This window comes from Homo sapiens, chromosome 4 (assembly GCF_000001405.40).
Source record: "Homo sapiens chromosome 4, GRCh38.p14 Primary Assembly".
Classification (NCBI taxonomy): domain Eukaryota; kingdom Metazoa; phylum Chordata; class Mammalia; order Primates; family Hominidae; genus Homo; species Homo sapiens.
The window spans coordinates 104,401,112-104,417,016 of NC_000004.12; the positions used below are offsets into that span (position 1 = coordinate 104,401,112).

General features: G+C 33.7%; 1 long non-coding RNA gene across 1 annotated transcript; it reads right to left on the bottom strand.

Annotated features, from left to right (window-relative positions):
• Positions 1-13,019: 13,019 nt before the first annotated feature.
• On the bottom strand, positions 13,020-15,510 carry LOC124900744 (uncharacterized). The gene is made up of 2 exons (XR_007058209.1): positions 15,431-15,510; positions 13,020-13,167 (listed from the first exon to the last, which is right to left on the bottom strand). It is a non-coding gene; the product is annotated as an uncharacterized LOC124900744 (long non-coding RNA).
• Positions 15,511-15,905: the final 395 nt, after the last annotated feature.

Consider the following 15,905-nt stretch of genomic DNA (forward strand, 5'->3'; position numbering starts at 1 on the left):
TGTTTCCTTAGAAAACCCCCAATATTTGGAGATTAAGCCACATACTAATAAATAAAGGAAGTAAGCAGAAAAACAAATTGAAATATTGAATAATTACCCCAAGATCAAAAACAAGGCCAGGATTTTTGCTCCTGCCATTTCCATTCAAAATTGCAATGGACATCCTAGCCAGTGCAATAAGGCAAGAAAATGAAATAAAAGACAAAAAGGCACAAATGCTGGGAAGAAAAGTTAAACTCTTTTTATCCACGTACAGCATGATTATTTTAGAAAAAAAAATTTACATTAGCATTGTAGAAAATGCTAACACAGAAAAACAGTACTAGAACAGACAAGTAAATTTTACGAGGTTTGAACTATAAGAGCAATGTTTAAAAATTAATTACTTTTGAATTCTTACTGGTGACTGGGGTGGAAATCAATAAACTGCTGATGATTTGGGTCTATTCTATTGTATGCATGTGGTACTATTCTTCTCCAATCGTTAGCAAGACTGTAGCTATTATAAGCATAGCAGTAAAACATTTTACACAGTGATCATCATCATCATACCTTTGAGTTGAAGTAGAATACTATTCTAATTAATATAATTTCATTAAAAAATAAGAAACCCATGTCTGCATCCTAGCCAGTATCACTTTCTTGTTTAATTTTGCTGATGTATATATAAAGAAAGTCATCACATGTGAAGTAGTTTATAAGATATCTTGTTTGCCAAGAAAATTCTTTGCAGCACCCTTATGAAAGTGAATCTACAAATGATAAATCTTTTGATGAATATTTCATTTTTGTCTTTTTGCTAGGATACAGAGAATACTATCAACTGATAATTAAGTGAAGTTAAATAATATGGTAATGAGTGAGAAATAAATATAAATACTAGAGAGAGAGGGAGAGAGAAAAGGTAGGGAAATATTTAAAAATTGTTAAGGTTTGGTTTTAAAGTATTTGCAGTTACGTCATATAAATTATACAAAAACAAAATTAGCTAGGCATGGTGGCGAACGCCTCTAGTCCCAGCTACTAGGGAGGCTGAGGCAGGAGAATGGCATGAACCCAGGAAGCGCACCTTGCAGTAAGCCGAGATGGCGCCACTGCACTCCACCAGCCTGGATGACAGAGCGAGACTCCATCTCAAACAAACAAACAAACAAACAAAAGGATTGTAATAAATAGAGAAGTGGTATTAGCTGGCTTATGCAGACCTTCGTTATTATAGCATTAAACTGACTGCTGTGCCATGAATTGCTAATAATTATCAATATCATTTTGCCAAACTGACTTAGCAATAGTTATTTATGAAGCCATTTGACAGAGATTCAAGAATTATATCCATACCAACTGACTAGAACCTAAATACTTTATAGCCTCCACCACTCTACATATTATAGCAGTGTACATATTATAGCAGTTGAGAAGTAGGCTTGCCACTTTCCTCTCAGAGGCAATCCAAATAATTCTAGCACTAGCCTGTAAAACACAAATATTGGAAGAATATTTGTTAAAGTATAATAATAATCTTTGTGAAAGATAAAGACGCACCACATAGAGGTACAGCAGGGACTATATTAATATTTTTTCAAGAATAGTTGTAGAAGTCTTAAAAATAAGCATATTTCAAACACCCTAAAAATCAGTATTGTTTAATATTACCAAACATATAATTTAAATGATATCTATGAATAAAAGGGCAAGAAAGAATATAGAATTTAACAATGCAGTGAATTTTTCCACTTTATAAGGTTTGGATTACATTATAGCAATTTTTACATTTCTTTGAGCTTACAATAAAAATACACATTCACATATTTTTCTATACAATTAATACTTTAATTTTTTCTTTTTTTAAAGAGTAAACTTAATTCTAGAGCAGTTTTAGGTTCACACAAAATTAATAGGAAGATACATAGATTTCTCATATATTCCATGCTCCCGTCCCTATATAGCTCCCTCTATTATCAACATCTTACCACCGAGTGATGCAGTTATTACTATTTATATACCTAAATTGACACATAAGGTTTATTCTTATTGTTGTACATTCTTTGGGTTTGAATAAATTTATAAGCACATGCATGCATTATTATAATGTCATATAGAATAGTTTCACTGTCCTGGAAATTATCTGTGCTCTGTGTATTTATCCCTCCCTTCTCCCTAACCCCTGGCCACCATTATTTGTTTTACTGTCTCCAGAGTTTTGCCTTTTCCAGAATGTCACATAATTGAAATCATACAATAAGTTGACTTTTCAGATTGGCTGCTTTTACTTACTATTATGCACTGAAGTTTCTTCTGTATCTTTTCAAGGCTTGATACCTCATTTCTTTTTAGCACTGAATAATATTCCATTGTCTGGATGTCTGGAGGTACCAAAGCTTATGTATTCATTCACATATTGTAGGACAACTTTGTTGCTCCCAAGTTTTGAGAACTGTGAATAAAACTGCTGTAAACATCCATGTACAGGTTTCTTGTGTGTGTGGACATGAGTTTTTAAGTGCATTATATAAATGCTATGAAGCAAAATTGCTAGATGGTATGGCAAGAGTATATGTATTGTGGTAAGATACTGCCGAACTGCCTTCCACAGTGGCTGAAAGCATTTTGCATTCTCAACAGGAATGAATGAGAGTTGTTCTTGTACCACCAGATCCTTGCCAGCATTTTGTGTTGTCAGTGTTCTGGATTTCAGCTATTCTAATTATTGTGTAGTAGTATATCAATTTTTTAAATGTGCATTTCCTTGATGACATATGATGTGGATCATCTTTTCATATGCTTGTTTGCCATCTAAATATCCTCTTTGGTGGGAGTTCTGTGTCTTTGGCCCATTTTTAAAATGAGGTTGTTTGTTTTCCTATTGTTGGTATTTAAGAGTTTGTTAAGTGGTTATCACAAGGTTTTAGGATACAAGGCTAATATACAAAAGTTTGTATATACCAACAATGAACAAGTGGAATTTGAAACTGAAAACACAGTACCATTTGTGCAAGATGTATACGAATCTATAGATCAATGCTGGAAGAACTTATATATTGACAATATTGAGCCTTCCTATCTATAAGCATGAAATAGCTTTTCTTAGTTCTTAAAACTAAGAACTAAGAATAAGTAGTTCTTAGAACCATTTTCTTAGTTCTTTGGTTTTCTCTCAACAAAGTTTTATAGTTTTCTTCATATATGTATTTTCCTGATTCTTTCTGCCTTTCAATTTGAGGAGTTTCTAGAGACATATATTCAAACTCGTTGATTTTATTCCTTGGCCATGACAAGGCTACTACTGATAAGCCCATCCAAGGCATTGCTCATTTCATTACAGTGTGGCTTATTTCTACCATTTCCTTTTGATTCTTTCTTAGAATTGCCATCTGTTGGCTACGCCTCCGCCCTGTAAAAACATCCAGAAAATAAGTCTATTAACGGTACTCAGTCAACACTGAAGTTAAGGGAACACCCACATGCAGAAATAAGAAAGAACAAACACAAGAACTCCAGTAATTCAAATGGCCAGAGTATCATATGTCCTCCAAACGACCGCGCCAGATTCCAACAAGAGTTCTTAACCTGGCTGAACTGGCTGAAATGACAGAAATAGTTGTTTTAAATTTCCAGGCTGATAAAGTCCAAAATCTCTGCCATATCTGAGTCTGATTCTAAAGTTTATTTGGTCTCTTCTGACTATGATTTTTTTTTTTTTTTTTTTTAGTATGCCATGTAATTTTTTGCTGAAAGCCAGACTTTATACTGGGTAAAAGGACCAAACTACACAGGACTTAAATGTGATCCTTTATATTTAGCCAGCTGAGTTGGGTTATATTTACTGTTTGCTGTAGCTGTTGTGTCAGAGGCTAATATTTCTTCTAGTGACCTTGTTTTTGTTTCCCCTGTTGCCTGTGGATTTTCCTAAAGACTCCTTCTTAAATAGGGTCTGATGCTTGAAGTTCTTTCAGCGATAATCCCCCATTAATATACAGGAGCTTGATTGCGGTGGTGTTGAGGTGGTGGTAAGATGGCAGGAAGATACTACCACCTTACTGTTAGATCTTGGTCTTCTAAGGAGTCTGTGTCCTTGGGCTGTAACTTTTACAAGCACTTCTCAGCCTTTTTACTTCCCCTCTTCATGTGAGACAGGAAAACTCAAGGGGACTAGTGTTGGGTATTTCTCTTTTTCAGGTTGATTAGGTGCTGGTAAAACTCAGTCAATTAGGCTCTGCTAAAATAGTTTTCCTTGTGGGCAGGTAATTTTTTAGGAGAAGAGAGCACTCTAGGATTATTTCAGAATAGTTACTTTCCCCCTTCCCTGCCAGAAGCATGAATGCATATATCTCTTATTTTTCACTCTGAGAATATGGTGGGGCTCTTGGAGGTAAAATGCACAAAAGCATATGCTCCCCCTTCCCCCTAAGATTGAGTCCCCAGGAGTTTTTGTTTGTTTGTTTTGGGTTTTGACTTTTAATTTCTCAAATCAATACACACACAATCTCTGGCAAGTAGTCAATTACCCTTTAACTGTTACTATTAGAACCCAGAAGTGGCTTCTGTTCCCAGTAAGCTGTGATTCTCTGAATTCACCTGTTTCTCCAGTTTTGAGATAGCAGTTTTCTCTGTGACCTCAATTCTCTGATGGACCTAAGATTTATTGATTTTCAGCTTGTTTGCCATTTCTCTTGTGATGATGGGAGTGACTACTTCCAAATTACTTCTATCTTAAATCAGAAACTGGAAGTCTCCACATATTTTTGGATGTACATTTTTTATTTAAAGTTTTACTTGCCAACTACTTTAGATTAATTGAGCATATTTATAGGAGTGATTTGTAAATTCTTGGAGTCATTTGAGAGCTTGAAGTTATCTAATATTGATGAGGCAGGGCAAGGAACAGTATAAGAACTCTAAGAAATTAGAAATTATTAAAAAAAAAAAAAGAAATAGATGGACACCCACAATCAGGAAACAATACAGAGATATTTGAAGGAATAAATATTAACCAAATGTATAAAGTGAAGGCGATGAAACAGATCAGCTAACCATGTGATATTTTGCATATTTCTAGCAAGTTAAGTAATTAAGGAAAATTAGTTCAGAAAAAAAAATTAGTAGAGCCTATACTTTCTCCTACAATATTTATTCATTTATATATATATTTATTTATTTATTTTTGAGACGGAGTCTTGTTCTGTTGCCCAGGCTGGAGTGCAGTGGCACGATCTTGGCTCACTGCAAGCTCCACCTCCCGGGTTCACATCATTCTCCTGCCTCAGCCTCCCAAGTAGCTGGGAGTACAGGTGCCCACCACCATGCCCGGCTAATTTTTTTGTATTTTTAGTAGAAACAGGGTTTCACGATGTTAGCCAGGATGGTCTCTATCTCCTGACCTTGTGATCTGCCCACCTCGGCCTCCCAAAGTGCTGGGATTACAGGCGTGAGCCACTGTAACCGGCCAATATTTATCTTCTATTTGTTGTTTTTATTTGCCAAAGTTAGTTGATCTAACAGTTCTATGGATATAAATTACTAACTGGAAAAATTCCTAAATCAGAAATAATCTTGATAATCCTACCAAACAACACTTTTAATTGGACGTATTACAGTGTTTAAAAGCTTTGGCTCTTAAACCCGATTTGAATTTGAAATTCAGCTCTCACACTATTAGTTGGAATACCTGTTTGGGGGAGAGAGAGGAAGAGAGAGAGACCTTGAGAATACACCCTAAATACAGAACATAAAAACAGTTTAAACACTTTAAAAACATAAAAACAGAACACTGCAGACAGTTTATTTCTCTTTCCTGTAGAAGTCTGGGGAAGTTTTCTGGTCTGGCATTATAATTAGGCAGTGTTGGGGTCTCAGGATCCTTGCATCATATCTCTTTGTCACACTCAGCACACAGCTTTGAGACATGTGGCCAGTAAGATCCAGTCCCTTTTAATATAGGACCTAGAAGCTGCAAACAGCATACTTTACTTCAAACCTATTGACAAAATGTAGTAGTGTGGCTGTAATTAACTGCAAGAGAAGATAGAAAATGTGGTACGTAACTGGGGTGTGAGTCACATGCCTAATTTAAACTTCAGGTTTCTATTATTAAAAGGAGAAGGGGAGAATGATATTGGGGGACAGCTAGCAGTCTTCAAAATACTACTTATTTATTCTATGACCACGGGTAAGGCATTCAACGTCTCAGAGACTCAGTCCTGATTTGCAAACTAGGAATGTTGATCAAACATGCATGTGAGATTTATATTGAACACTGTCAGGCACTGGGTTAGGTGCTGATGGATGTTAGTTATTATTATTAAGGTGTATTCTTTATTTGAAGAACAAATAAATAACAAGAGCCTCAGTGGAAGTGTTCCTCCATTCTCCACTCACAATAAGAAAAGTGTTTGCCCAGGAAGTTGTTCAGGATTTTGAGTTCAGGATTTTACCACAATTTGCATCAATGATATTTCTATAGATTTGAAAAGAGAGCCATTAGCCAAGGATTGTGATTATTTACCAATAATGGTGGTTATTTACCATTACAGTCTTTGCTGTTCCTTATTTGCTAATGATATGCATTGGTAAAGCCATAATACTTTACTCCCAGTTTTAAAAATGAAGCTATATGCTTTTCATTATTTGCTTATAATTCAAGGATGATAGCCCTTAATTCCAGTCTCTCTCAGATTCTGGTATGTTCCCACAAAAATGTCCATGCAGAATCACCAAATAATCCATATGCAAATAATTTTTACTAGTTTAACTTAAAATGTTTAAAAAATTAAAAATTTAATGACCATATGACATAACTGTATAGAAGCTGATGCTATGATATTTATATGTCGTTTTATTTTTTATTTAACATTGGGATTTAAAATCAGTAAAGTCACAATTTCCAGTAAGCATATTTAGCGCATATAAACAAGTTTTTTCTTTCCTCTGGAAAATGCTGATTATATTTTCTTACCACTAATTTAATTATCACACTTAACATTTGGGTGGGGCACTAAATATTTCATATATAACTTTTACTTGAGTAATGACTGTTGAAGTTATTCCAATACAAACTTCAAACCACCACAGATTCATGTCTTCAATGACAATGATTCACTTGCAATGAATATTTTCCTCACCTTGACAGAATTCATTTATTCTGATTTCAACAACAATAACTGTTTTTTATTAGATTACATCACTCTATGGAATATACACCATTATTCTGTTGTTTCTCAAGCATTTGAGGTTGTAGTTGATGTACTACATTGTGAAAAGTAAATCTATTAAATGAAATACAATTGATACACACTTGAACTTGTATATAATTTCCAGTTTACTTCTGAAAGCTGTTTACCCTTCTTCCCTCTCTGCCATCCATTTTCTAGATATACCAATGTATGAACTTAAAACCCAAAACAGCAATTTTTTTAACCTTCTAAATCTACATCTCAAACTTGAAAAAAACACTACTATGTCAAGTGAGAAAAACAAAGGAAGATACATTGTAATTTCTAGGTTATAAACAAGCTAACATATAACTGTGGCAAATTGTGCACCCCCTTTATTTTAATACGCTGCAAGACTATCTAGTACAGCACCATTCTGCTTACAATTGAAGAAAACTCTGTACCTGATATTGACCTTTTAAAGAAACCAAGGACAATCTTTTTTACAGATTAAAAGACCATAAAAGTGCTAGTTCTGCCATTGCCAGAAGCACTAACTGAACCTCTATAGAGAATTATTTGCAAGAAAAAAAAAAGATTTAGACAAGTTTCTATAATATGCACCATCCTGAACAAGGGAGACAGAAAAGAAAGTATGTCAAATCAGCTATTAGGTTAAATGAATTAACAAGAGTGGCTTGATGTCTTCTAAGCCCAGCAGTGTTGTGTTGTGGTTTTGCCTTTAAAAAATTCGTTGTATGTAATCAGCAGGACTCTGGCCTTTTAACTTTTAGCATGCTTCTACAGTTAAGCTGCTCTGCTCCACACTCAAATAGCTGTCCACAGCTGCTGCAAATTGATTTATCCCTAGATAATGGCTGCAGCTGATGGCCAAAATGTCACTGCGAAACTGTTTAACAATTTAAGGTGTGTTTGGCCTAATATAACCTGATTTTAACCCTACTTTTAAATGTATTAGCCTCTGCATAAATTCTTCTAAAAACATTCAAGTTGTATTTAATATTCAAATTTTCTTTCTTCATGTGTTTGGAGAATTTTTCTGTAGCTAAGCTTACAACATAGCCCTCAAAGTATTGTAGAAGCTGCAGGAAAGAAGCCTTGCTACCCAGAGCTGGAAGCATCCCGGCTACACACAATGCAAGAGCTAGATTTTGTTCAGAGAACACCAATTCAGATCACATTTGAGATTAAGTAAAGATCATATAAGTCCTCATAGTACCAGTAAAATAGGTTAATCAGAATGAATACGGATGAAAGGAAAAAATTACCCTATTCTTTAAATAACCTTTAAGCATTATAAATATATTACGGATCTATGTGTACAGAAAAGTATAATAGTGGAAACCTATGAATAAAATACTGTATCTTTTAAAGTGTGAGTATATGTTATTTTCATTATCCACAAAGTGGGATGCTTTCAGTTCAGGTTAATTCTCAATATGGATCTTCAGGAATCTTTACCAAAAAGATTTTTCTTAAATACACAATTACATGTAGGGTAGAATTAAATTGGTTAAATGTTTATAAGTTAGATCATTTCAAGTCTCAAAAAAACTTGCCTATGAACTATTCACATATGGCTGATTTGAGCCTTTGAGAACTTTCTTAGTAAGATGCAATATACAATTAAGGATATTAATCTGACTTGGTTAGGGGAAATTCTATCTGGACTTCAAAATCTCCCTGTGAGAGTTTCTAAAAACATATTTAGTGGATTTTCCACTTCTGTTTTCAAGCAATAATTTATAGGCCTCCAAAAATAGTTCATGTATTAGTGATATCCAAAATAGCAGGCAAAGTTATTATAATATTACTAATACTCACTTCACAAGATCACTAAAATTACTTAGTATAACACGAATTTAAAAAATGAACAATGCCTGATCCCCATGTCTAAACCAACATTTTTTATTTATTTAATGGCTTCTGGGTTTCCTGACATATTAGTGGCTGACCCAGTTTTACACATAGATTGAATTCAGCCACTTTTAATGCTGAAAGTAATATTATCAAGAAGATAGCTTTTGTCCAGAACCTTCTTTTTCATATGTGCATGTTTGCATTCTTCAAAAAATGTAAACAAAAGTATTATCAACACATTCCACTCTAGAAAAATTGTAGCAATTCTTTATAAGCAAAGAGTTAATTATTTCAGAGCTATTTAATATAGACTGTTCCTATTTAGAGTATGTCTCAAATATAAGATGAATTACTCGACAGCTGATAAAGGCTATAGAAATTCCTAATTCACATAATAGTAAAAAAATAATCCCCAGGCTTCAGGCATTTCAGTAAATAAAAAATGTAAAAGGCAGGAATAAATGAAAGAAATATCTGCAATGATAAATGTAAAGTAGAGAGAAAATTAGGTCACTAAATGGAGACATGTATAATGAATCATTTGATGTCATATGTAAAAGACTGTTCAGTATTTATTGAAAAATGATTTGTAAATAGAAAGTTCATATACAAAGCATTAGTTTTAATCTGAGAAAAATAAATGATTCTGTCATAATTAACATATTTATTACATGAAGAACACATTGCAATTCATTCCTTCTGTTCATGACAATATTAACAAATACCCCATGCATTGAATTTCAGGCTCTTCGGGATGATGAAGGAAAATGCAGAGCAGTTACAATTCTGAAATTAATGGTTATTTCTAAGAATCAGTCACATTTCAGAACATTGACCACTGTACATAAAAAAAGTCATTGTCTTTTTAAGTTTTTTCTTAAAAAACTAATTTTTGTGGATAAAAATTTATTTGTTAGTTATTGCTTTTAGATAGCTTGGGGCCAAGAACAATTGGCTCTGGGTTCAATTGGGTAATTGCTGTGCTTGAATTTTAACATATTGAGAGACAAATCACTGTGTGTTTTGATATACCTTAAAAAAACACTTCTTTTCCCTTTAAATTTTAAACTAACATAAACTTCTCAGCAATGAGCAATCAACAACATCTTCTACAGAAGCAGTAATATGTTTAATTTTTAAATTAATTTTACTTTATAAAAACAATTTCTCTTCATCATTTTGTATACCAATTCACTGAAATCAGGAAATTGGTGGCCTTTTAATATACAAATCACAAAAATTTAAAAATAATATTCTTAGTGTTTCACTTGAAGTTATGTTATTTCATCTTTTATTCCAACAAATGTTTAATTGAAGTAAATGGAAGGGAGTTTGTCCATGATAAACGATATGATCTTAATTGTGTTTTGCTATATTGTTTTTCCTCCCCTGGGTGCAAAAGGGGTAGGACTAGAAAAATCCCTGCTTCCCATTCATTTAACAAACATATTCACCTACAAAATAACTCCATCCGCTCCCTCCCATTTGTGTTTCCCAAGACTGCAGAGTTTACGCACATGTGCATCAACACCTGAGAGTGACAGGGTCTGATGTGTGTCTTCCTGCAGATGCAGTGCTCATGGCCATGAGGGAATGGATGTGTAATGCTGTGCTGATACCAGCCAAGTAATATAATGTGGTGCCATCAGGAACATTATTCATAGTTGATGAACACATACCTTTTCTAGTGAAACACATACATTTCAGAAAGAAATGCATAGATCATTTACTGAAGCACATTTATTATAGCAAAATGTGTACCTCAACTAATGAAACACATAGATCATAGAGTAAAATGATTATACTTATATTGAGCAGGTTTAACCATTTACGGATATTTTAGCAACAAACCAGTTTTTGTTCAGGCCAAAATTCAGGCCAAAACTGAATTGACAAATAAACTAAATATTTGTATGGGTTAAATACGACACAATATTTAATTATTTAATTGTATTTTGTATTTGACTGGCTATTTAAAACAATGAAGTTTTATGCATCTCCAGCTCTACAGTTTTAGCTACAATCACTTATGCACAAATAACAGGATGTATCTTTTCACATGCTTTCCAATGGATTAACCAGGACTAAATATGAGTAGCAACGAGAAACTGAAATATGATGTTTAGGGAAGGCAGGGAGCATTTGGGGGTGCCAATTTATTGCCTCCCTTCAAATAAAATTTAGCACTTGCATTTTGACACAATTGTATTCTAGGACTAGCAGCACATCTTGACATAATCTACCTTTATCTGCAGTAACAAATGCCAAGAAAATCCAGAAATAGGATGTGAGTCAGTGCCCCTGCCCCTCCAGGGTCAGCAATAAACTATCAATTCCCACTGTATAAATTCAGTTAGCCCTGGCTCTCTATTGCCCTGAGGAATAGAATGGGTCAAACACTTTGTTTATGACTAAGGAATCTCTCAGTACACCAAGCTTTGACCATAACCCTAACTCACCAGAGCTGGGGATAGATGTGAATTCCAGGCTCTTGCTTTAGTGAGAACATAATTCACATGGACAAACATTGCACTGAGAGACTTTGCAGGATTGATCTGATTTGTATCATTGTTCTGTGTTGTGTGTGAAAGACTGTTTTAGCCTGGGTTTCTCTTGAAGTCATGCAGAATGGCCTCTACCAACTTGGAACTTAATTTTGAAAAGCAAAACTAAATTGAAGAATTATCTTCTCTATTTAGCTTCTCTTCAATCCTACTAGTACATGAGTTGAACAAAGGTAGGAGAAGTAAAAGGAAAAAAGCAAAATCAAATGTAAAAAAAAATTCTCAAAGGAAGGCAAGCAAAGTCTTTCTAGGTGCATAATATAAACGTTTTTTTTTCATTATTTAATGCAACTTCTCAGCCCAAATTTCAAATGCTTATCTATATTCAGAAGAAGTAAATCTTAAGTTTATGTATCATTTTTTTTAGGATCTTCTCGTTGAGATTCAAGACATTCTTCATTTTAGAATGAGACATTGCCCTGCTGATGTTTGTAGCTGACTTGAGAACTGCCATCCTTTCCAACTTTGACTTGAGAACTTAGTTACAGATGTTCATTATATTTGAAAGATTCCATTTTTAAATGTATAGTACATCATGATTAAATCTTTCATTTGTAGTTTTTTTATGTTCCCCTCCCCCATACTGTGAAGCCTTGAATCCTTGGGTATAAGAGGTATAGGAGATAAAATTGAATTGACTAGAATATTCAACATAATAAGCAATGAATTTTTGCTGAGATTCTCCACTTTTTCTTAAGTTATAGGAGCTCATTTCATTATTTGTTGAACCCTCCAGTGACCCTGGGATTTCACTATATAATTTATGTTTCCTGATACAATTCAACAGTGTAATCTTATGATTTATGTGCTTCATTTATAATTTGATCATCTCAGTATAATGCATGTTTTTCTACATGATTTATGTACTTTATCCCATAATATATGTGTTTCACTGTATGATATATGTATTCATCAGCTATGTATTATGGCCCTGGTGGCACATTCCTAGAAGAGGAGGCAGAATACCCCAGCCTGAGGGTAAGTCCTGAGGTTAATTGCAATCAATTCACCTTCCACACAATTACACTTTCATCTGCTGGAGCTTGTGAAGTGAGCATGCTTAACATGGCAGCAGCAGGGAGGCAAGTGTGCCAGTTTCTTTTTTTCTAGATCCAAGAAAAAGCAGATTCCATCAGCAGATCAGGAAATTGGAGCCCTACAATATGGTTTTCTCCAAAAAAACAACAACAACATATTTTCCATATTATTAATCACATTTCCATTTTTCTGATATAACCTGATTTAAGCTATAATAAATACATATTTACAGAAAGACTGGAAACAAATAAACTTTCATTTCAAATAAGCAGTTTTTAAAAATAGTAATTATTTAAGAATCATTGAAACCTCTCATAGGGAGCTCTCCACAAAGCATACTTTCAAAAGGACTTTCACTAAACTCATTTCTTCAACAAGCATCACTGAGTTCTGTCAGGCATTTTTATTTTCTGAAGGCTTCTTTTCTGTTACATTTACTCATCCATTCATTTACTCAACAAATATGTATTGAGCTCTTCCTTTGTTCCAGGCTAGTATAAAACAGACCAAAAGCCTGTCTTCATAATGTCTGTATTCTGTGGTAGGAAACAGAAAATAAGCAAAATGAGTAAGTAAAACAAATGATACTGTAGACCGGGATATGATATGGGCTATAGAGCAAAATAAAGCAGGGAAAGGGAATAACGTTCCTAGTTGGAATTATGACATTTTTAAAATTAAGTTAGGCATTTGATAAAAGCTACACTGAGGAGGAGAGATATTTGAACAAAAGGAGCAAGGGGAAGAGAGGAGGAAGATGAGTTCAGAGAGGTGGTAAGTAGAAGGTAGATCGAGCAGGGCCATGTGGACCATTGCCAACATTTTAGATTCTACTTCGAGCAAGGAGGGAGGCCTGTGATAAACACAGAGAAATAACAGGAGCTGACTTCTGCTTTGAAAGGGCCACTCTGGGTGCTCTACGGACCCATCTGTATGAAAAGATAGAAAGATGGGGACTAGTTCTGGGCTGCTGAAATAGTCCAGGCCACAGGTGAAAGCAGATTGGTTTAGGGTGACAGTCATGAAGAGACAGTGAAAAGTAGTTGGACTCAAGATAATTTTTTCAAGGTAAGCTGACAGAATTCTACGAGGGATTGGATATGGAGTGTGGAAGAAAGAGAGAAGCCAACTTATTTGCAAGCACATTAAAGTGGAAGCTTTAAGCAAATACTTGAGTACTGCTGCATTGTTATTCACTCAGATAGTGCATGTTGATAACTAGAAGATTACTGACCACATTATTTTAGTTCATGTTTTCTTGATACATATTCACACCATATGAAGTCCATTTCATATCTTTATTTAGTGAGTATCAAATGCTTTACCTTCCAACCTGATTTAATCGCCAAACAGGTCAATTTGGTGTGTGTGATTATTTTTATTTCAAGAGTATAAGTAAAGCAAAAGAATGGAGAAAAATGAAAATATATTTAGTTATTGTGTTTTGATTTGTTGAAATTATTTGAAACAATTCCATTTATATTTTGTAATTTTATCAATACATATCTTAACAAGCAATCATTTACAATATGACTAACATTTTATGGAATCCCTTAATTACCAATAAGTAAAAAGGTATATAAATATAAATATGTTATTTATGTTTAAAGTAGAATGATGTTTACTTAAAATATTAAAAATATTTCAATATATTTATATATGGTTTTCAAACAAAAAATAACATTTATTTATTGGCCATAAAATAAACAAAAAAAGATATCTAATTCAATATTTCCATCTAAGCCAAATTTATTTTCAAACCAATTTTAAATTACACTGATATCACTATTGCCTCCTAAACCCTAAAGATAATATAAATGTTACACATTTTCTAAGTCTGAAAGGTAATTTCATAAATGTTTTAAGACTGGACTTCAGATATGAAATACCTATCTTTAGAAAATAATTATTATTTTGGTACCTATAAGTAGGTTTGAGGAAAGGAAAGGATTAGAGAAATCTTGACTAATGTTTCACTAAGTTACAAAATTAAAAAGAACATGCCTTGACTAAAACAATCACTTTAAAATACTTATTTTTAAAATTTAATAAATCAATTTTTACATGTTATTATCAGAAAAGATTTCTTAAAATTATTGGGATTGTGAATTTTGAAAGTAAAAATGATTAGTAGTATTACAAAAGTAATTTCCCACTGTTTAAATATTATTCAACACCAAAGGATTATCATTATTTCAGTTATTCTAAATATTATACTAAAAGTAAAAAACAAGGAAAAATATATGAAAATGCTTATTATTTCTGTTGGTTTCCTTTTATTTTCCAATAGAAAGTTATGTTTTAATGCAATTTAAAAGTTAGTTTTATAAACTGTGTGTATAAAATCATTAAAACTGAGGTTTTGAAGATCCTCCAATATGCAAGATTGGAGTGCATAATTTATGGGGCCCAGGTCCCACTCTGTCTATTCTTCATGACCTGGGGCACATCATCAACCCCTCTGCATCTTTACTTCTAAAATAGTAACAAATGTAAGAGGTAGTCTATATGGATAAGGAGTGGTTTAATAGAAAATCCCTGTGCTCCTTCACTTAGGAAGATAATTAGTAAAACTAAAAAGAGTCAAGGCATCCAAGTTTCCATTACACATATATAATTCAAACACTTCTTATGTACTAATTACTGTGTTAATTTGTCAGGCGTTCAAAAATAATTAAGATTACCCACTAAAGAATGTATTCATTTACTAGGGGATTCAGTTATTTATAAACATTGTGTTAAGAGCTATGACAAATAAATAGATAGGGTGCTGCAAAGTGTGAGATAAATTCATCTAACCTGCTTGATCATATCAGAGTGAAAAAAAGGCTTCCATGACAATTTCTGGAAAAGGTGGTACATGCACAGAGACACAAAGGATAAGTGCCAACTCATAAAGAGTTGGGGGCATGGTAGTTAAAGAAATTAAAGGAGCAAAGGCCCAGAGGTAATTGAAATGCTAAGGCTTCAAAGGCCATAAAGATGAGCAGTCAAGGACTTAACCTGGGAGGGTAGACAAAGATCAAATTCCAGGGTATTTGAATTTTATCCTGTAGAACAGAATTCACCTTCCCTTGTGCTGGCTACACAGGTGTGCTGTGAATGGATTTACAACTGTGATCCATTCAGCTTTAAGGTGAAAAGAGGGACCTGGTTTAGCCAGAGCCCCAGTTGAGTCACCTCAGACCTTGGACCTTTGTACCCATTTTTTTTTCACTGTGCTCTATAAATATGATCATTTCCTGTAATGTCATGACATGAAAAAGTTAGCAAT